This window comes from Homo sapiens, chromosome 7 (genome assembly GCF_000001405.40).
Source record: "Homo sapiens chromosome 7, GRCh38.p14 Primary Assembly".
NCBI classification, from domain to species: domain Eukaryota; kingdom Metazoa; phylum Chordata; class Mammalia; order Primates; family Hominidae; genus Homo; species Homo sapiens.
The window spans coordinates 111,751,749-111,773,581 of NC_000007.14; the positions used below are offsets into that span (position 1 = coordinate 111,751,749).

The window sequence follows — 21,833 nt, forward strand, 5'->3', positions numbered from 1 at the left end:
AATATATAATTTTTTTTTTTTAAAAAAGAGGGTTGAGACTGTCACCGAGGCTAGAGTACAGTGGTATGATCATAGTTCACTGTAACCTCAAACTCCTGGGCTCCAGTGATCTTCTGGCCTCAACTTCTGGAGTAGGAGGTTGCTAGGACTGCAGACATATGCCACCATGCTGACTAATTTTTTAAATTTTCTGTTTAGACGGTGTCTTACTACATTGCCCAGGCTGGTCTAAAATGCAGAATAAAAGACTTGGTAAAGTGTGGAATGAACACTGTACATTTTATGATCAAGTAATTATTGTTAATTTTTAATGTGACAATATTTCAGGTTTTTAAAAATAAATATGAATACTAAAATATTTGTAGATGAAGTGATATGACATCTGAGATTTACTTCAAAAATAGTCCAGTTGAGAGGGAGCAGGTAGACATGTAGATGAAACAAAATTGGCTTGATGGCTGTTGAAGCAATGATGGGTAAGTCAGGCTCATTATATCATTATACATTTTCTCTATTTTTGTATGCTATAACTTAAGTTTAAAAAGGTCACTGGCTGCCATGTACAGAGGAGACTACAGGGATAAGGGGGAAAGCAAATCTTTTAGGAGGCTACTGCAGTAATCAGGCACTAGGTGGCGCTATCGGTGGGGGCGCTGAGGAGTGGTTAGATTCTGGGTATACAGTATTTAGAAAGAGGCACATTGTTTTCTGATGGGCAGGATGTGGTATGAAAATATTCTCGTAATCTTTAGTTGGATTTTTAAAAAATCATTTATGGATTCTAAACTATAAATGTTTGTCTTGATTAAAAATTTTTTAATCAGCTTAGGTTTTTTTTTTTTTTTTTTTTTTTTTGAGACAGAGGTTTGCTCTTGTTGCCCAGGCTGGAGTGCAGTGGTGTGATCTCAGCTCACTGCAACCTCTGCCTCCCCGGTTCAAGCGATTCTCCTGCCTCAGCCTCCCAAGTAGCTGGGACTACAGGTGCGTGCCACCATGCCCGGCTACTTTTTTGTATTTTTAGTACAGACGGGGTTTCACCATGTTGGTTAGGCTGGTCTTGAATTCCTGACCTCAGGTGATACACCTGTCTCAGCCTCCCGAAGTGCTGGGATTACAGGTGAGCCATGGCACCCAGCTGAAATGAGCTAATTTTTTAATCAGGACAAAAACACTTTTTTTGGGTTTTGAAAATAATAAACTACAGAGGAAACAATAGTTCAAAGGCATTGATATCTTAACAAAAGTTGATAAGCTATTGGGGGGGGGGTCTGTGATTTAGAAAATAAAGGTCCCCAATTTCATCTGAAACCTTTGGTGCCACATGTTTCAGAATGAAGAACTTTTCAGATTTTAGAAAGGCAGTATAGGGCCATATATGGTATATTATGTAACCCCTAGCAGGATCTAGGGCAGGTTCCTTTAATCAAATGCATTACATTAATAAGGCTGGGCATGGTGGTTTATGCCTGTAATCCCAGCACTTTGGGAGACAAAGGCTAGAGGACTGTTTCAGCCCAGGAGCTCAAGACTAGCCTGAGCAACATCGTGACACCTCATCTCTACAACAAATCAGAAAATTAGCCAGTTGTGATGGCACATGCTTGTGGTCCCAGCTACTTGGGAGGCTGAGGTGGGAGGATCACTTGAGCCCGGGAGGTCAAGGCTGCAGTGAGCCATGATCATATCACTGCACTCCAGCCTGGGTGACAGAGCAAGACCCAGTCTCAAAAACAAAAAGGAAATATAATATTTCTACAGTGAAACACATGAACATTCACACTAAGTGAAATAAAGTTAATAAATGGACTTGCATTAGAAAAGGTTGGGTGTATTATTAGCAAATGAGCTTTGGAGCCGAACAAATGAAAACATCTCTTGGTTTTCAGATGCTGACATCTGCAGATGAGGAATTTCAATTCAACGTGATGTATTTGTATTGAGCACCTACTACCTGTCCCTGTTCTTGAAGACCTTCTACACTAGGAGTTAAACCAGGAAACCAATAGCTTTAATCGACAGTGAGGACATTCTAGGCAGCAAGAACAAGAGAAAAACACAAAAGCTGTTAAGAGTGGGCTGTGTTCAGGGAACAAAACAGCTGAATTTGATTTGTTCCATTTGACAGAACATAAGATTACATATTCTAATAAAGTAGGCAGCTGATGTTTGAAAGGTTGTGTTTAGTAATGCTCCTTTTATCATTATCAGCATGCTATTTTTTATTAGCATTGTATGTGTATATGACATTTCCAAGGGCTAGGACCATTGATGAGACTTCACAGGATTTAATGCTCTGGGTAGTAAGTAGCTAAAGGCTCTCTGAATCATTAATGCAGCATGGATGACTAAAAACACTTCTACAAGTTGGACCCATGCCATTCAGCGGGAAGCATAATAAGACTTTTTGAGCACTGCGTTTAGCAGTCTCCCCACTTCCATGGAAGGTACCAGGGCACAACATGTAAGCAGCCAGCTTTTGGGGACTCTGGACCTCAGACTGGACAAGAATACAACTGCACTGATGTAATCTGCTGAATAGAGTTCAATTTTAACTTTTAAATCCTTAGCTTAATTGAACATGATAGGCCGAGAGTAGTTTCAATGCTGAGACATTTCAGGTAAGACAAACAATTCTTGAAAAACAATTTGGTCAGGAGCTGTTCTTTCTTCTGGATTGACAGAATAGGCTTGTGACCTAAATAAGGTATGAATTACATTATATTTGCACAATTGGCACACTTCCTATCAGAGAACTATGGCAATGAAAGGGTGAGACCCAGGCTCAAAAACAAACACATTATTATTTCTGCAGTGAAACAAATGAACATTCACACTAAGTGAAATAAAGTTAATAAATGGCTATAATGGATGTAGCAAGGGAGGCTGTGAGACTGCAGGGCTATGGCTGACATCGAGGTGCTGTCGCTGGAAGAACAGCACAGACAGCTGGGTGGGGTCCCACCCTGGATGTGGCTGCCTTCAGCTGCTGCTCTCCCTGCTGTCCACAACTGGGGCCTGGAGCTGGGGTCACATTTTACAACCGGAGGGTTCTTGGGAGCTGTGGTTACCAGGTTCTACAGTGGCACCCACTGATCTACAGTGGGTGCTCCACCCAGGACTGCTCAGTGAGACTAATACGCTGCCATCCTTTCTACTGGGAACTGTAACAACACGGACTTACTGTGCATCGGGCACTGTGCAGAGACTTGACATTAGCCTCCTTCAGCCTGTAAGAAACCTACTGCTAGAAGAGAGTAATATAATTGGCTTTGGAATCAGAAATATCTGGGTTGGAGTCTCTCTTCAACATCTTGCTATGTGATCTTTGGCAAAGGCTTTTGACCTCTTGTCAAAAATTGCAAAAACAGGAATAAGAATATATACCTCATAGCTTTGATATGATGATTAAATAAGATAAAGCAGGTAGTATTAGCACTGGTATGATACACTAAGCACTGAAGGTCACACAGCTATAGTAATTAGGAGAGCTGGAATTCCAAGTCTTCTAACTCAAGGGCCTGAATAGTTTTTTTACATGTAGCAAATTGAGTTGTTTTCAAGGAATCCCTCCATCTGGACACATTAGGATAATATTAATATTCACCTTCTCAGCCTTGGTAATAGCGGTCAAGACCATAAACATTCACTATTTTACTATGAGTGCTTCCAGAGAATCTGGGTCGAAGGAGAAGTAATGAATATACGGCACAACTCCAAGTGAACAACTGTGATGAGAAAGTGCTTGAGAACAAGCTCTGATCCTTACCACTTCACGCTTTTCCACTTCAAACCAGCGAGAGATGCCAGGCAAACTCTGCACCAAGTATAATGACGTTCTCTCCACCCAGAGACTCTACAAAACACAAAACACATTAAGTCTCCCAAGTTGCCCTTCTTTCTAGCTACTTCCATGACTAGTGTTTGTCGGTCACTGTTACCAGGCTTTGCTTATTCCTGTCAGCCTTTCTTTAGTCTTCATTCAAGCACTCATGAAACTATCACAGTGAGAGATTGCTGAAGCTGATTTTAACAATTCCACTGTATGTCATCAAACTTTTTTCCATGTGGAATAAATGAGCTCCTACTTCAAACAGCAAGCTTAAAAATACAAAAATAGGCTATCATGTTATTTTCTTTGCTACTTCTCCAAGATTCTAATTCAAACTCTCTTCACTCCTTAACATCTAACCACTTATATCCAGAAGGGTCAGCCAGTCAATGTATCAGCCTGTCAACGTAGAATTAGAACAACAGAGTCCTAAGGGAAGCAAAGGCTTTAGGAACCACACAGCATGATCTATGTTAAGGATGAGGACACAGCCGGGCACGGTGGCTCACGCCTGTAATCCCAGCACTTTGGGAGGCCAAGGCAGGCAGATCATGAGGTCAGGAGATCAAGACCATCCTGGATAATATGGTGAAACCGCGTCTCTGCTAAAAATACAAAAAAATTAGCCGGGCATGGTGGCGGGCACCTGTAGTCCCAGCTACTTGGGAGGCTGAGGCAGAAGAATGGCGTGAACTTGGGAGGTGGAGCTTGCAGTAAGCCGAGATCGCCCCACTGCACTCCAGCCTGGGCGACAGGGCGAGACTCCTTCTCAAAAAAATTATTTTTTTTTGAAGACACTAGGTCTTAAAGCAGCAATGTGACTTGCTCAAAAGCTACACTACCGATAGAGCCAGCATTAGAACCTACCCACTAGGACCTCTGACTCCTTGTCAGTTGCTAAATCTACTGTGCCACATTTTCTTGTGCTTGTTTGAACTGCTGTTAATAGAGGCAAATCTGTATTTTAGAGCCAGGGCTTCCTCTGGCCGGGACGAGCAACCCCAGGACATGTGAAACCATGCTGCCTTTGGTATGAGCTGCTGTTGATGACACGTTTCTTTTTTGTCAACCAGGTTTTAGTATCTACGCCTCATCTTTCTTACTTAAACCAAGTGTATTCCCAAGAGGATAATACACTTTACAAAATTCCTGAAATAGTGCCATTTACTCAAACCACAACAAAAAAAAAAATGGAAGAGTTTCTTTGAGCCAGCCAAGCTGTGCTGAGATGAATAGGGCAGAGATCTTGTGACAAGAGCTCGCAGTGTTCTGGTGGTGACAGGGAGGTAAGCAGATGAATAAGAGCTCAGAGTGAAGAGAAAGGGATGTTCAAGGCTTTGGGGGCCAACAGAGGGGGATGCAGGCACACACGCCAGCCTGCGGGAGGAGGACAGCAGTTCTCAGAGGGGGTGACGCGTGAGCTGCATTCTGAGGAGTGAGTAGGAGTTTGCCAGGAGGAGAGTGGGGGTAGCAGCGCTGGCAGGAGGAGCGGCTTGCGAAAGGGCTTGGCGGGAGAGGAAGAGAGAAGCTGAGTGTCGCGGAGGCTGAGAGGGAGGAGGGGTGAGTGGGTTGTGGTGGAGATGAGGCTTCTGGAGGGCAGTTTGGAGCCAGATTCTGAGGGCTATAAAGCAGAGGAATCAGGAGCCAGATTTATTATTATTATTTTTTAGGGAGATTGCTGCGCCACTGATACAGATTTAAAGTGACAGCCACAACGAAATGTAGTACGGTGGAAAAAACAATGGAGAAGGAGGCAGAAAATGTGAGTTCTAGGACTGGAGCTACCGGTAACTAGAAGGTGACTTTGAACAAGTCAATTGCCTGATTTCAGTGATTTCTGACTATGATTTCACTAAAAGCAACTGCAAGAAGAACTATATCATCAACTAGCTATATCTTCTTTAATTGATTTTGGAAGGCACAAAGAATAAGTTTCCAGAAAAAACAAGAACATGATCATGGATCTTTTTAATACTATCCCATTGTTGTTTTCCAGTGGCCTCCTTGCCTTGATATTTAGCCCATCAAATCTCTGGGCACAAGGGACTGCTCTTTATTCAATCCTGTCATAACTCTGCAAAACCTTCCCCTTCTGATCTCCTCTCGGTTGTGAATGATCCCTGGAAATACTTCGGGGAGTACTGGGAACTGACACCGGCAGAGCTGACCAAGTGAGTTAACATGAGACAATCGTGTTAGGAGCACATTTCCTAGCTTAAGCAGGGAACATCTGTGATGAAAAATGCTAAGCCAATTAACTCACAAAAATAAGCTAATTTTGCATTCTTTGTTTAGATATGAAATACTAACTGGGGGGGGTGTCACTATGTCATTGTTTGCAAAGAAAGGGGCAGACTCTACTGAACAATCTTGCCTCTTTTCTGCAGTGGGGCTATGAGAAACCTTGTCCCATTCTGGCTGAGGGTGCTGAAGTAGGAAGGCGTGTTGGAACTACTGAGAGCAGAGAACTCAACACACACAAAGAATCCAAAATTTGCTTTTACTCGGAGTCCTGAGAAGTTCTAATTACACACTGTTCTAACAAGAACAAGCAGCAAAGATGGCACATAACTTACCCAACGTACCAGCAGTCTACCCAACTGTTCTCTGTCTTCAGGAACTCCTTTTCTCTGTTCATTATGTATTCTTTATTCATTGAACTTTACGTGAAAATAAACATCCCAAGATTCCCACAATTGGTTCAACATAAATGAATAAGAGGACTGACTTCAGCCAGGAGTTCTCAAAGACTGGTCTAAGAACCACCAGCATTAGAATTGTTACAAAAAAGCTGATTTTAGGACCTCCTCCCAGACCAACTGAGTCAGAATTCCTGAGCTGGGCACCAGAAATCTGCTTGGTTAGGGAGCACTCCATGTCACTCTGATGCACGTGGAGCTGCAGAACCACTAGACTAAATGATTTATATAGTCCCTTCTGTTTCTGTCACTTGACACTATTCTGAGTAAATATTTACCAAGGGCTGTGCCCCAAGGGGCTCGCAGTCTATCTGAGGAGTTAGCATGTAATAAGAATTGCATGGTACCTTGAATTCATTCTCTTTATCTTTTGTGCCTTTGTGAAATGGTCGGTCATAGCGGAATTTCCAGATGTGATTCACTTTATAGAAGCTTTTGATGTTGTCCGGAACACCCTCTCTCTGCAGGACCTCCTGGCTCTCTGGAATGGGAGTCACAGCATATATCTGCAAATCTAGGATTCAAGAGTCAAGGAGAGAACCTGACTTGGCAAACTCCATGGAAGTCTGGCTTGGGCTGAGCTATGGCAGAGAGAAGAGGATGGGTAACAATCTTCTGTTTCCATTTCAGTTGAAGTCATTAAAAAAATTACCAAGAAGACGCCAGGAACTCAGTTCTAGCAAATCACTTCTCAAACTACAGGTCTTGAACTAGTTCTAGGTAGGTGAAGTATCAGCTTGAAATTTCCATGACTTGAAAATTTTCATGACCTATGAATTTAGATATCACTAACTTGTGTGTGTGTATGTGTGTGTAGGTAGATGGGAATGGTTTGGGCCTTAGATACTCAGAATTAGGATAATCCTAATCCTTGTTCATGAGACATCTATTAGTCTGTGCATGACACATTTAAATTTATTGTTTGCTTATAATAACATGTAAATACCTATGCAACCATGACCAAAGACAGAAACTAGAACACTGACGATGACTTACATTTATCTGTGTGATTATCTGTGTCCCTAGCCTTCCCACATCTGTGATAACTGCTGTCCCAAATCTTGTATTCATATGCAGGGTGTTTAGTTATAGTTTATATTTTTAAAAATTACATTAAAGGAGTATCATATTAACTTGTATATTTACCTCCTTCTCTTCTTATTTAAAGAAAGATAGCAAAATATTTTTCCTATGTACTTTCTTGCATGTCTTGCATTTTGGTTTCTGCTTTGAAATGGTATTCATAATTGTCAGTGGAAGTTTTAAAAGTGTTTTTTAAGACCATCAGTTTCAGGAAAAGGCAGAGGGGTTCAGAAAAGAGTGCTGGGGTGAACTGCCTTTGTCTCTAACACCTATATAATTTCAGCTCAGTTGTTTGTGTTTAGACAATAAGAGCATGAATTATACAGCAATGATTAAAGGCTGTTCAGGATGCCATAGCTAAAAGCCCCCAAAAGATACTGGAGTAGCTCTTTCTCTTCCATTCCTCATTCCAGAATACAAATAATCAGGGTGGGGGGAGGGGTGAATAATATGTGCCAGTAAACACAATACTATGATTTTCTTGAACTTAAGCAGTTTCCACAGGATATGTCAAAGGAAGTTTATTCTAAAGGATGTCACTAAAAAAGAGCTTTAAAGGCAGGGTTGAGCTATACAAGAGGTTTAATTAAAAGGGAAAAATTCTTTCAAGAGAGTTCTTTCAACTGACATCATCGTAATAAATAGAACAATTAAGTTCTATTCAGAAGGAGTTAAGCTAAAATTAAGATGATGGGAAAGAGGGAGCAGTAACGATGTGGCTATTGAAAAGGGACTGGTGGCTGAACAACCTTGCATGGAAATGCTCTGCAGCTAAGAGCCAGTGCAATCTCACTGAGTCCAGCCCTTGTAGGTGCGGATACACTGAGCTTCTGCCTGGAAGATGGTCTCATCGGGCTGGTTGGCGTGCTGCATGGCGATGGCATGGGGGAACTCGTTCAGCATTCTCTGTTGGAAGGCTTCCAGCCTCTCGTAGTCATGCCCTCGACACACAAACTCCTTATTCTGGAGATGAAAGCAAAAAAGAAATTAGGGCTATATAACTGAGTGGATTACAGACAGAGCCAAAAAACATGACACTGGCAGTAACTGACCACATGCCCCATACCAAGACACTATAACAAAAATTACGCTGGAACAATCTGAAAAGTTTGCCCAATTGTTAAAAATGCAGATAAAGATCATGAGTTCACTCTCTACTGCATTTAATAAGGCCCAATAGAATGCCTCACTCTTCCCGGTTCACTTGCATGAGGTGCAAAGAGGTGGATTCTCAGAGCACCAAAGTATGAAAACAAAACAATTGTATCCCTCTAAATGTTAATAAGCACATGTGTAAAGATTATTTTTATAAAGTACATATCAAATTCATGTGGGTAATTTCACAATTTGGAGGAAAAGTAAATTTGTTGTCTGCTTTTTGTGTGTGTGTGTGTGTGTGTGTGTGTGTGTGTGTGTGTGTGTGTATTCTGCCGTTCATGATGCTCTCCTTCAGTTAAGAATGGTGAAGGTTATTTCTGAGGTAGGTTAAGACAGCTGGAAAGATGGGAAGGTTTCCAAAAAGTACCTGAATGATCTGATTAGATATGACGGATCTCTGACATTTTAATGATAATGAAGTTGTAATTGAGCACAGTCATTGATGAAGCACACTGCATGTCTTATTTAACTCATATAAGCTTGAGAGGTAGTCAGTGCCCCCTACAACACCCCATTTTATAATTGGGGAACCAGGGCTTAAAGTCTTTTTTTTTTTTTTTTAAGATGGAGTCTCACTCTGTTGCCCTGGCTGGCATGCAGTGGTATGATCTCAGCTTACTGCAACCTCCGTCTCCCACTTCAAGCAATTCTTCTGCTTCAGCCTCCCAAGTAGCTAGAATGACAGGTGTGCACTACCATGCCCAGCTAATTTTTATATTTTTAGTAGAGATGGGGTTTCACTGTGTTGGCCAGGCTGGCCTTGAACTCCTGGCCTCAGGTGATCTGCCTGTCTCGGCCTCCCATAGTGCTGGGATTACAGGTGTGAGCCACCACGCCTGGCCATGGCTTAATGTCTTGAAATACTTTGTCCACGTGTACTAGATTGAAATTCTGGTCTGAGTCCAAACCCTGGGCTCTTTCTACTCTGAACATGGCCTAGTGTATGCAGGAAAAACACCTAGGAGCTACCAAGACCAGGAAAACTTGTGGGATCTCAGGCCCTGGAGATCTTCAAGTTAAGGGGAGATCAGTTTGGGGCCTAGAGGAGCTGAGGTCCAAGGTTTTCTCTGTTTTTCCGCTCTATGAGGTTCTTATGTAAAACGCCGTAAAGAGGGACTCCAGGCCACAGAGAGGGAGTGAGAAACAAGTCATGGGCAGAGGCTCAGTTCTTCCGCAGGGAAAGGGCAGCTGCAGGCAGGTAGAGGAAATACAGCAGGAACTGGGCTGGATAACCTACCTCGGTTCCCCACAAACCCCTAAATATATCATGATCTTTTGAAAAACACAAGGTTAGGGCAGGCTCTACCTATAATTGTGGACCCCATACAATTCTAGATTTAAAACTTTATAGATAAAAGTTACAATTTCTGATGCTGTATTTTAAAAATTCTACTCAAAAGATAATTAATTTGCTTGGTAAAATAAAACACAATACATCCCTCTCTGCCTATTACAGGAGCCCCCAAATAAATATTTGAATATCCTAGTAAATGAAATATATTTTAAAACAAACAATGCTTATATATGACAGTTTGTAAAAATCGGGGCATTTGCTCTAAGAATACAGGCATTCAATGGTATTAAGAAGCCATTTTAAAATAAAATGAAATTTTGGGTCTGATATTTGGGTCTCTAAGAAATAAAGCATCTTCCTTATCAGTACTCTTTTTTTTTCTAAAAAAACACATAGATTTATTGAGATATAATTCACATACAATAAAATCCACCTTTTAAAAATGTGCAATTCAGTGGTTTTTAGTATATTTATAGAGTTGTGCAAACATTAACAAAATTTAATTTCAGAATCTTTTCATCATGTCAAAAAGAAACCCTATACTCATTAGCAGTTACTTCCTATTTTTCTCTTCCTCCAGCCAGTCACAATACTACTTTTTGTTTCTATGGATTTGCCTATTATGGAATTATACAATGTGCTGGCCTTTTGTGACTAGCTTTTACTTAACATAGTATTTTTAAAGTTCATCCATTTTGTAGCACATATAAGTATTTCCTTTCTTTTTATTGCTGAGTATCATTGCATAGATATGCTGTGTTTTGTTTACCCATTCATCAGTTAATAGATATTTGGGCAGTTTCTACATTTTGGCTATTATGAATAATGCTGCTATGACGATTCAGATACAAGTATTTGTGTAAATATATATTTTCAATTTTCTTAAGCATGTATATAGAAGTAGAACTTCTGCGTTAATATTCTTTAAATAACCCATTTTGTTTTGTTTTCTTTTTTTTTTTTTTTTTTTTTTTTGGAGACAGGGTCTCACTGTCACCCAGGCTGGAGTGCAGTGGCTCAATCACAGCTTACTGAAGCTTTGACTCCTGAGCTCAAGCAATCCTCCTGCCTCAGCCTCCTAAGAAACTGGAACCACAGGCGCACGCCACCGAACCTGGCAATTTTTTTTAACTTTTAGTAGAGATGGGGTCTCACTATGTTGCCCAGGCTGGTCTTGAACTCCTGGGCTCAAGTGATCCTCTGGCCTTGGCCTCCCAAAGTGCTGCAATTACAGGCATGAGCTACCGTGCCCAGCTAAATAACCCGTTTTTCATGAGGGGAAAAATCCCTACTTAGATCATAAAAGTGGATAAATGTATTTGAGTGCTAAAAATTATCTTGGAAATTGATCAAACAACAAAAGACTTCTGGCCTCAAGCAATTCTCTTGCCTTGGCCTCCCAAAGTGCTGGGATTACAGGTGTGAGCCACTGTGCCTGGCCAAAAGGATGTTTTTAATGTTGATATTTGTTTGCTTTTAAATCCAAGACCAGACTAGAATCTGATTCCTTAAAAAAAAGGTCAGGCTCCAGGATTCTGAAGAGTGTAGTGCCCTTTAGAAACCAACAGAGGGGGACCCTTCTCTTTCATTGTGAAGCAAATGCCATTTATACCCAGGAAAGCTATTTTTAAAAGAAGAATGATATAGAAGATTGATTTATTCTAATTGACTTTTTAACAAAATTTATTCTATTTGCTAATGCAGTTTTCCAATTTGCTAAACTCTCTTTAAAATTATGACTCTTAAACTACTTCTAATTTTTTAAAACTTTATACTTTTAATTATAATCTTTCAGACATGACTCTGCCAACAATGTCATGTCTGTTTGTGCCAACAGAGGGAGACGACCTACTGTGGCAGGGTCGTGTCTAGACCCTGCTGCGCAATCCCCAGCCATCTGTGTGGCTATAGCTCTAGACTGTCTGCTGCTCTGCTCAGAACCTGGATCCAGGCCATCTGCAGTCCTTAGGGGGTTGCTCATAACAGCTTGGGATCAGCTACACCTCCAAAACGTAGTCTTTTAAATTCAACATGTATTCTGACTTTGCCATTTTTTAATTTTCATTTTCTGGGGGTCTTGCTCTGTTGTCCAGAGTGGTCTGGAACTGTGCTCAAGTGATACTCCTATCTCAGCCTCCCAAGTTTTTGGGATTACAGTGTGCCACTGTGCCCACTTGCTGCTGTTTTTGATCAGGAATCAAGATTTCCTCCAGTTTTAGGCAGGCCCACCTGCAAAGTCAGCTTTGTGACCGCCCACTACACTGTGTGGAGTCTCTTTTAATGCAACAAGGAGATTTCACATTATGTCTGTGTAGCACCCAAATGCATGGTCATTTCAACTGACTAAAGAAAACATCTGTTCCACGTGATACTAAAATGAACCTGTATTGGATATTTTGGGATCTACCTATCTGTCTTTTTCATTCTGAAAGGCAGATAATGATTATTAAACAATAAAGTGAAATCTTTCTCTTCTTCTCCAAGTACACCCATCCTAGTATTCTGTCATATGTGCTGACAGGCAAGATTTAGGTAAACACAAACATCAAAATATTTCTGTATTGAGAACTAAAGTTGTAACAATTGATTCAATTTTATAAACTATCCCAGATACCTTTCCTTAGTTGCTTGGGGAATTACATTTGCTCTTTTAAGCAATGTTTTTGTACAAGGAAGGTGTATATACTGAAGTATTCAATAAATATTCAAGCATAGAAGACACTACTGGGCAGAATGTGAAAAATGAAAAGAATGGAGTTGAATATTTTATTATCTTATAGGTGTCTTAGAATGTCTAAAAGTTTTCTCTTTGTAGAAATGGAGTTTATACTAGCAATAAATTGGGTCTCTTTGCTGGGTGACATTTATCTTTTTACAAATTCATCAAAATGGCCAAACAACACTCTTTACATGGTGCTGGAGGTAGGGTTTTCACATGATGTGAAACTGCATTGCTTTCGATACTCTGCAACTCCAAGCCTCCTGCAGTGCCCCACCATTTTTTTTCTAATACTAACTTGATGGAAATTGCAGACTGAATTAAAATAGTGGGTATCAGACAAGGGAAACTATAATTATCAAAGATTGCTCACAAAATATACCAAATTTAGGAAGGGGTTGATTGCTATCTCGGAAATTATTTAAACAAGGCATTCTAGATTAATATAGTGTCTGCAAAGTAAAAGTTTAAAAAAAGTCTCATGCATATTATTACCTGTCATATAAAATGTCATTAACATCTTAGTTTTCTTGATTGGGATATCTATATGAGAGCTGTGAAAGCAAATTAAATAGTATATTACTTACTCTTAAGAAAAATGGAAATTTTTTTCCATAAAATCCAACTCTGAAGAACTCTGGTTCAAGACGTTGCTGGTCCATAATTTTGTCATACAAAGAGGCTTCCATCATCTAGAAAGCACAGGAAACATTCTAAGCATTTTATCTCATCTTTCGGTTCTATCAAATTTATAGAATAAGATTTCTTTTTTACATAAAGGAGAACTTTATTTTAATTGAGTTTGCTGGAAAGAAAGTTTGACTTTCTTTTTGATGCTTTAAGTCGGGGATTGGCAAATTTCCTCTATAAATGTCCAGAGACTATTTCACATTTTGCAGGCCATATCGTCTCTTCACAACTACTTAATTCTGCTAGGCCCACAGGCTGTAGTTTGCTGATCCCTGCTTTAAAGGATCAAGTGTATTATCACATGTTATCCCCAGAGAAAAATTATTTCTATGCATGTAGTCCTATCAAGAAAAATATTTTCTTCACAATCAAGTAGAAATTAACATGAATTATTAGAGGCAAAACTTTTCTAGAGAATTCTTGTGCCAGATGTACTTACCTGTGGGTTTGCCTCCACCTGGCACATGGTAATTCAGGACATTTGGAAGGTGCAATCTTGCACAGGTTGGGCAAGGATAAAACAACAAACCAAACCAAAGGAGACCCATAGTGCAAAGTGCTGTCTGGGCTGAAAGCTCTTAAGTGCGCCTGACAATGTTGAAACTATGAAGCATATAAAGCTTATGGTTTCCCATTCATGGTATTATCATCCCCAGGGTTTCCAGAGAAAGACTAATATTACACTTAAAGATTCCCCCTCTATCCCCCCTCTAGTAACAGCACCCCAAAGAGCAGTTGGCATGAAGTGTAATGCTTTGGGTTTATAAAAATCTTAGTGACTATGGCACCCAAGGGCTCTCACAAGTAAACATCATCACCTCGCTTCTGTTACAGGGACAGGATGCCAAGAGATGAACAGCAATGTTTTCATATAAAACTGCAGTGCCTGCCAGAGTCAACATGATGGACTGAAGTTAAAACAAGCTTTTTCTCTTTCGTTTTCATGTTAGGAGAAGTATCGATGAACTGCTGACATGAAATACTGTGCCAAAAGGACAGAGTCAGTTCCTGCCAGTTGAATAAATTCCTTGTTGGGATATAAGGGATTTTATGAGCTGTTACAGGTTTATGGTATTATCTCTTAAATGGCTACCTCAAAATTAAAAGGCAATATTGTACTCTTTTTTTTAATGTATAAAAACTGATGATCCTATTTTAGAAACCCTGAAGAACTGAAGCACTCAGCAGGATCTTGTGTATTACAAGATGACACAAACGTTCATGTTGCTCAAGAGTAAGGACTTGGAGGGCAAGGAGGACTTGTTTGAACCTAAGAGCAAAGCAGATATAAAACATTTGGTTCAGAGAAACAGAATACTCAACTCCTTGAGCTCTTAGGTACTGAAACGTTGATCTAAGTCCAGCAAATAAAAACACATTGCTGAAGCTAAAGAGAGGTGACACCTACAGAATTTGGCCCTAAATTATTTAGAAATAGGTCAGCCATTCCTACAGATTTGCAGATTATGGGACTAAGAATGGTATATTGTTACAGAAACTTATGTGTAAGTGGAAACTCTTCAAACAGGGTGGAGATTTTCCACAATAAACTAAAAGTGTTAATCCTGGATTAGATTGTATATTTCATATGTGGTATTTAAAACAGATCAAGTGCTCACTTTTTTATATTAAATAAAAGCATTACACAAATCAATTTGCTATTTCTCTATATAAATAGCTAAGTATGCTTCAGAGGATTTATCTTAAAAAGGGTTTCTGCAAGACCACAAAGTTAATTTCATAGAACCACACTGGAAAGCTAATCACAAAGGGAGGCTATGGCCTGATCAGGATGCATCCAGGCACCTTACCCGCATCTTGCTCAGGTTTCTGTAGTCATAATAACTCTCATACTGCTCTGCAATCTTCCGGCACAAGATAATGCCATTCTCCCAACACTGTGGACAAATGAATGAGATCAATGGAACCATCTGACAATATCCACTTACTTCTACCCAAAAGTCAGAACATGAGTGCTTTCAGAGCACCAAGCCTTACTCCTTAATCTTTTTTTTTTTTTTTTTTGAGATGGAGTCTCACTCTGTCACCAGGCTGGAGCGCAGTGGCCTCATCTTGGCTCACTGCAACCTCCGCCTCCCTAGTTCAAGCGATTCTCCTGCTTCAGCCTCCTGAGTAGCTGGGATTACAGGCACGCACCACCACACCCAGCTAATTCTTGTATTTTTAGTAGAGATGGGGTTTCACCATGTTGGCCAGAATGGTCTTGATCTCCTGACCCCATGATCCACCCGCCTCGGCCTCCCAAAGTGCTGGGGTTACAGGCATGAGCCACCGCGCCCGTCCACTTCTTAATCTTTATAAAACACCTTGAGACTTCAAGCTTGAAAACACCATGTAATTGAAATGTAAATTATTAAAAATCCTTTGAATGCTGGAAACGATAATCTACCACAACAGTCATTAATATATTGTACATGAACTATATTTTCTGGTGTCATTCCAGAATCATCTTGAAATGACTACAGTTCCACAATGGCCGAGTAGATGGATATAAACAGGCCCTCAGTGCAGAGGAGAGAATTACCACTGACCCCTAAGGCCCAATTATCTGTGACTGGTACCCTGGATTCCTTGCTTGGCTTAGTTGTGCTTGCAAATTGTGAGAGGTCTAACCAAGTTGGTTACTCTCAGCAGAAATGTAAAAATTCTTTAATCTAGTATAGGTGTCAGCAAACATTTTCTGCAAAGGGCCAGAAAGTCAAAACTTTAGTCTTTGAGGACCATTTAGTTTTTGTCACAACTCTGCTGTACTCAATTCTGCTGTTATAGCACCAAAGCAGCCATAGACACAATTAAGCATGGCTGTGTTCCAATAAGAATTTAGGGACACTAAAATGTGCATTTCATATCATTTTCACATGTCCCAAAATGTTATGATTCCTTTGATTTCTTTCAACCATTTAAAAACGTAAAAGAGATTTGTAGCTTTGGGGCTGTACAGAAACAGACAGTGAGCCATTTGACCTGTGGACCATAGTTTGCAACCCCTGATCTAGCACAGACTCCCGGGGATGGACCAATAAATGAATTCAGAGAGTTTGCACCACTTTATCCCACAGGTGGAAACTTTACAGCAGGAGGGCACAAAAACATTTCTTTTGGTATTCATGTAATGATATGTCAGTGTACCTAGATAAATAATAAAGGAAGATGTGGAAGAAGCAACTTCCTTGCATCAAATTTTTACGTGTACCCAATTATATTTTGTAAAAGAATTACAGCCATTGGTTGTATTTTAATTTTCTGTTTAACCTTTGCAATCTGGAAGATAAATTTGAGTCTAAGACATGTACCACCAAAGCATCCAAGTGTTCAAATCCAATAAACAATGGCGGTCAGATTCATGAATTTTTTAAAAGAGTACTACAAGCCCTTGAAGAGGGGTAGGAAGTGGAGGGAGGTGATGTACTGAATTGCTTTATGAAGTCAGTGAGGTTTTTTCAACACCTCAAGGCATCTCTTAAGTATATGATGGGATGCCACAAAATTCTTTAAACAAATTAAGTTTCATATATTTTACCTTAAAGTATAATGGAGCAGAATGCATGCCAATTTCGGGAGAGTGTGAAGGATGATAATGGTTTTTCAGAGAATACAATATCTGCGTGCTATGGTCTGCATGTTTGGGTCTCTGACAAATTCATATGTTGAAATCCTAACCCCCAGGGTAATGGTATTAGGAAATGGGGTCTTTGGAAGTGATTAGGTCATGAGGGTAGAGCCCTCACGAATGGCATTAGTGCCCTTATAAAAGAGGCCCCAGAGAGTTAGCCAGCCCCTTTCACCATGTGAAGATACAGCAAGATGGCCCTCACCAGACACTGTATCTGCCAGGGCCTTGATCTTGAACTTCTCAGCCTTCAGAAATGTGAAAAATAAATTTCTGTTGTTTATAAGCTACCCAGTCTAGGGTATTTTGCTAAAGCCGCCACGAATGGACTATGTTACTGGGGATCAAAATCTCTAAATCGGTGTTTATCAAAGTGTAATGAAAAGGTCATGCACATTGGACTCTCCTAGGGTCCTTGTTAAAATCACAGATTCCCCAGCCTCATGCCAGACAAGGCACGAATCAGAATGGCTCATTCAGAATCAAAATGAATCAGAATGGCTAGGAGTGGCACCTAGGAATCTGCATTTTAACAAGCTTTTGGGTGTTTCTAATATACATTAAGATGTGAGGATCCCTGCTTAAGGAGGTGGGCATTCATAAACTAGAAATGAAAGGGAAAGGGACATCAACACCATCACCCCAGGAGGGACCCCGGGCGGGGCAGGGCCACTTACTTTGCCTCTGTCAAAGTTCTGGATGATGGTGAGGTGCAGGTGCTCTTTGCGCTGCCATTCTGTTTGCATGGGGTAGGTCAGGAACTCCCTGAGGGGCCGATCAGACCATTCCAGTAGCTCGTCATATAAGAGGAGGGTATATGCAGCTTCTGCAAGTCACGTGAGAAGACAATGATTGAGACAGGACCCCAAGCCACATTCCCTCAAATGTGGCCAGTTTCCGACAAACTGGGGAAAAAAAATACTATTTTCTAAATTTCGTGATATAGCAGAAAAATATCCAGAATATATGCAGCAGTAGGGTAATGAACGAGGACTTCCCCTGGATGATGGACTTGGACTAATCAGATCTGTATTTCATCTTTTGTTTCCTGTATTTTCGTTTCTGTTTTTGTCTTTTGTTTTTGTCTTCCCTAAAATGTCTGTATGCTACAGTATAATCAAAATGTGTAAGGATATCATGCTGTTGCTGGTTCAAAGATGTGGGGAGACAGGCCTTTGTTTGCTGAGAGAGTTCACTAGTAAGTTCCTTGGGGACTATGAGCATCCCCCAAAGGGCAGGCTTAGGAAATAAAAAATGGCAAATTCTTTGGGATAATAAAGGGCTGAAAAATCGAAACTGGTGAGGAGGGGGTTCAGAGTGGAGGCAGAATTTACAAGGGGCAAAGAAGCCAGAGAGGAGCTGAGTGAAGACCAAAAAAAAAAAAAAAAAGAAAAAGAAAAAATCTAATAACAGGGTAGGGATTGGAGAGGGTGGAAGTGCTGCATGAGGAGTGGGGGGAGTGTGTGGGTGTGTGGGTGTATTTGTGTGTGTGAGAGAGAAAGAACCGTTGCAGGCTGTGTGATATGACTGCCTTGCCCCAGATGGCCCCACAAATCTTCTGTAAAGAATACTGATATCATTACATGCTTGGCATGGTTGGATTTCCTGCAGAAACAAGGGGTGATTTTCCATATACACATAAGTGGAAAAGGTGACCTATGGATTTAAGTATGGTTGGCAGATAGTGTATTTGACAGGATACTTGCCATTCTGCAGGTCTCTCCTTTTCCTGAATTGTAAATATAGCCCAATAGATCAAGAATAGGAACCAGAATTGTCACTGATAAAGGACTATAATAATTTTTCCTATAATGTCATAATAGCCTACTCAATTACTCAATTGAATAAAATGGACAAATACTTATGTTATTAATCCATTTAACTCCACCTCAGGTTTCTCAAAAGACATAATGATAGCTTTTAAGATGGTATCAATAATGGTAATTCCTTTTCTTCATTTATTTGCCTTTAGGGTAACTACACATAAAGCCCTAAAGTAATATGCTGAGTTATAATGCTATGATGTGGCCATCTCCATGTAAAAAAGATAGTTGCAATAAGAAGGGCCAGGGCCCCTATCACAGGCACTGGTCTTTTTTCTCTTCAATTACCTTTGGTGAGCTTATACAATCTCCTGGTTCAATTATTATTGTGAAAGCTTTCCTAATCCACCAGCAGTCTCTTATCCCCCTCCATTCAGTTTGCACAGTTAGCAATATGAACTTCTTTCAATGCAAATAAATGATCATGGTTAAAACCAGTCCATGACTCTCAGTAGCTCAAACAATAAATTTAGGCCTCCTACAGTGACAGAGAAGGTTGCTCATGATCTGGTTCTTACCAAGCTCTCTATCCACATTTTCTCACTGGGTCTCCATGTAGTACAGGTATGAAAGAGCCCACCTCCATCTCTTTTAAGAAGCTTCAGTAGCTGCTGAGGCTCCAGTCCTCATAGTTGGAGCCCCCGGACCCCATTATCCACTTTCCAGGAATGAGCAAGATGCATTGTGGTCCAGAGGCAGCTGGGCACAAGAAAGCTGCCCGACGGGGACAGTGATGCCTTCTGTTGCATGCACTCTTGCTGGTCTCTTTCTTAATGGGATTGAACGTGAGATGGACAGAGAAAGCAGCCACTAAAGGGTGTCAGTTAACTGGCGGACACAGACACAGAGCTGAATCACCATAACATAGGTAGCCATGGAAGACTACTCTGATTGCACAAGAATTATAATAACCAGATCCTCAGAAGGGTGCTGTTATTTTAACAGGCATCTAGTTTTCTCTGACATCCCTGAGATGATTTCCTGATGTTTAATTCCCCATGTATCATTATAATAAACGCTAAGTATCTAAGGAAACCCTACGCATATTTTTGTTCTTGCATCCACACTCTTTGCTCTTGTCATCCGAACAAGCTGTGCTTCCTCTCACATACCTCTCTGATTCACACCTAAGGGCCTCACAGCTTGTGCCTGCAAGACCTTCTTTCCCCCTTTGCTGAAATAACTCCTACTTTCTCTTAATGACCCAGCTCAGGAGTTACCTTCTTTGTCACTCAAATTTCTTTTGTGTCTCTGTCAGCATGTGACTACTCAGAAAATACCCCAGAGACTAACTGATCATTTCGAAGAATTAGGAAGACTGAGGAATGTCCTTCCCACGGCTGCCCACAGGCAGTGATGACTTCAAGGGCGATGAAAGTCAAATTTACAGAGACAGAAAGTAGAATAGTTGTTGCCAGGGGTAAGAGGAATGGGGAGTTAGTGTTTAATGGGTACAGAGTTTCAGTTTGGGAAGATGAGAAAAGTTCTGCACCTGTAGTCTCAGGTACTCAGGAGGCTGAGGCCAAGAGTTTAAGATCAGCCTTGGTAACACAGTGAGTCCTCGTCTCTAAAAAAATGTATTTTAAAATTAGCTAGGTGTGGTGGCATACGCCTGTAGTCCCAGCTACTTGGGAGGCTGAGTCAGGAGGATCATGTGAGTTCAAGACCAATCTGGGTGATAGAGTGAGACCCCCATCTCAAAAAAAAAGAAAAGTTCTGTCGGTGGATGGTGGTAATGGTAGCACGACAATGTGACTATACTTAATACCACTGAACTGTACACTTAAAAATGGTTAAGATGGTAAATTTTATGTTATGCACAATTAAAAAACAAAAAGAGGCCAGGCACAGTGGTTCATACCTGTAATCCCAGCACTTTGGGAGGCCAAGGCAGGTGCATTGCCTGAGGTCAGTAGTTCGAGACCAGCCTGGCTGACATAGTGAAACCCTGTCTCTACTAAAAATACAAAAAATTAGCTAGCATGGTGGCAGGCACCTGTAATCCCAGCTACTCAGGAGGCTGAGGCAGGTGAATCACTTGAACCCAGGAGATGGAGGTTGCAGTGAGCTGAGATCATGCCATTGCACTCCAGCCTGGGCAACAAGAGTGAAACTCCGTCTCAAAAACAAAAACAAAACCCCCCAAAAAACAAAAAGAGCAATGAAGGTCTCCAGTCTCCAAATGCTTTCCCAATCAGCTTGCCCTTGGAAGGTCCTGGGATGGGCGGAATGCCAGGTGTGGGTCAGGTGCCCCTGGGAAAGCCTGGGAAAAGAAGGCACTGGCAGGCAATCAGATGAAACTGACAAATGACTGAGCGATGGCATGGAAAAGATGTGAAGACAAATTACACCTGTTTCAGAATTTGATTTGGGAAAATGACAACACATATCTGAGAAAAACTGTGTCTAGAGGAGGCAGTAGTAAATTTTTATTAATCCCATTCTACCATTTTGAGAAGTGTATTACAAGGACACCAATATGCAAAAAGAAATAAGAGAGAAGAGTAGAGATGAGTTAGGCATGGAGGCTGCTGTCACAAAAGGCTGGAAAAGGGTTAAGTCACTTAAACAGAATCCTAGAAAGATAGAAAAGTTCCCTGTCAATTTCACTGTCTCCAAGAACAGAAATGAAGATAGAAGAGAGAAGAATAAAATGTTACATGGGAAAAGAACTGATTTCTTATGACTTTGGGGAACATAAAGACTGCAAGTTGAGTAAACAAATTAAAGAAAAAAGATTAACCCAGTTTTGAAATATAATCAGACAAATTTGGACTTTATTTCAGAGAACCAAAATATATCTGTTATATATCTGGAGTAGCTTATCCTCACTTACCTCCCGCATTTCTCTTTTTATGAACTTTAAAAATTTTCAAAAAGTTTACTGTTTTTTTTCTTTTTGAATCG

At 40.6% G+C, this 21,833-nt stretch overlaps 1 protein-coding gene and 2 long non-coding RNA genes across 16 annotated transcripts in view, besides 1 other annotated feature; 2 read left to right on the forward strand and 1 right to left on the reverse strand.

The window, feature by feature from the left end:
* Positions 1–21,833, reverse strand: part of DOCK4 (dedicator of cytokinesis 4) — a 480,290-nt gene that overhangs the window by 25,639 nt on the left and 432,818 nt on the right. For all 14 annotated transcript variants that reach the window (XM_047421081.1, NM_014705.4, XM_006716189.3 and 11 more), the window contains 6 exons: positions 17,781–17,929; positions 15,284–15,370; positions 13,370–13,474; positions 8,433–8,574; positions 6,876–7,042; positions 3,767–3,853 (listed from right to left, as the gene is read on the reverse strand). In XM_047421081.1, the coding sequence (XP_047277037.1) occupies positions 3,767–3,853; positions 6,876–7,042; positions 8,433–8,574; positions 13,370–13,474; positions 15,284–15,370; positions 17,781–17,929 (737 nt within the window). The remainder of the gene's footprint in view (positions 1–3,766; positions 3,854–6,875; positions 7,043–8,432; positions 8,575–13,369; positions 13,475–15,283; positions 15,371–17,780; positions 17,930–21,833) is intronic.
* Positions 5,226–6,514, forward strand: LOC124901727 (uncharacterized). The gene is made up of 2 exons (XR_007060479.1): positions 5,226–5,264; positions 5,500–6,514. It is a non-coding gene; the product is annotated as an uncharacterized LOC124901727 (long non-coding RNA).
* Positions 6,170–7,369: an enhancer, noted in NCBI's record as "BRD4-independent group 4 enhancer chr7:111397974-111399173 (GRCh37/hg19 assembly coordinates)". NCBI's record gives its function as "activates an origin of replication core promoter dependent on BRD2, P300/CBP, MED14 and CDK7 cofactors, and independent of BRD4, by STARR-seq in HCT116 cells {active_cell/tissue: HCT116}" and the evidence as "EXISTENCE:reporter gene assay evidence [ECO:0000049][PMID:35650434]".
* LOC124901726 (uncharacterized) lies at positions 6,996–15,126 on the forward strand. Its single transcript, XR_007060478.1, has 2 exons — positions 6,996–7,248; positions 14,307–15,126. It is a non-coding gene; the product is annotated as an uncharacterized LOC124901726 (long non-coding RNA).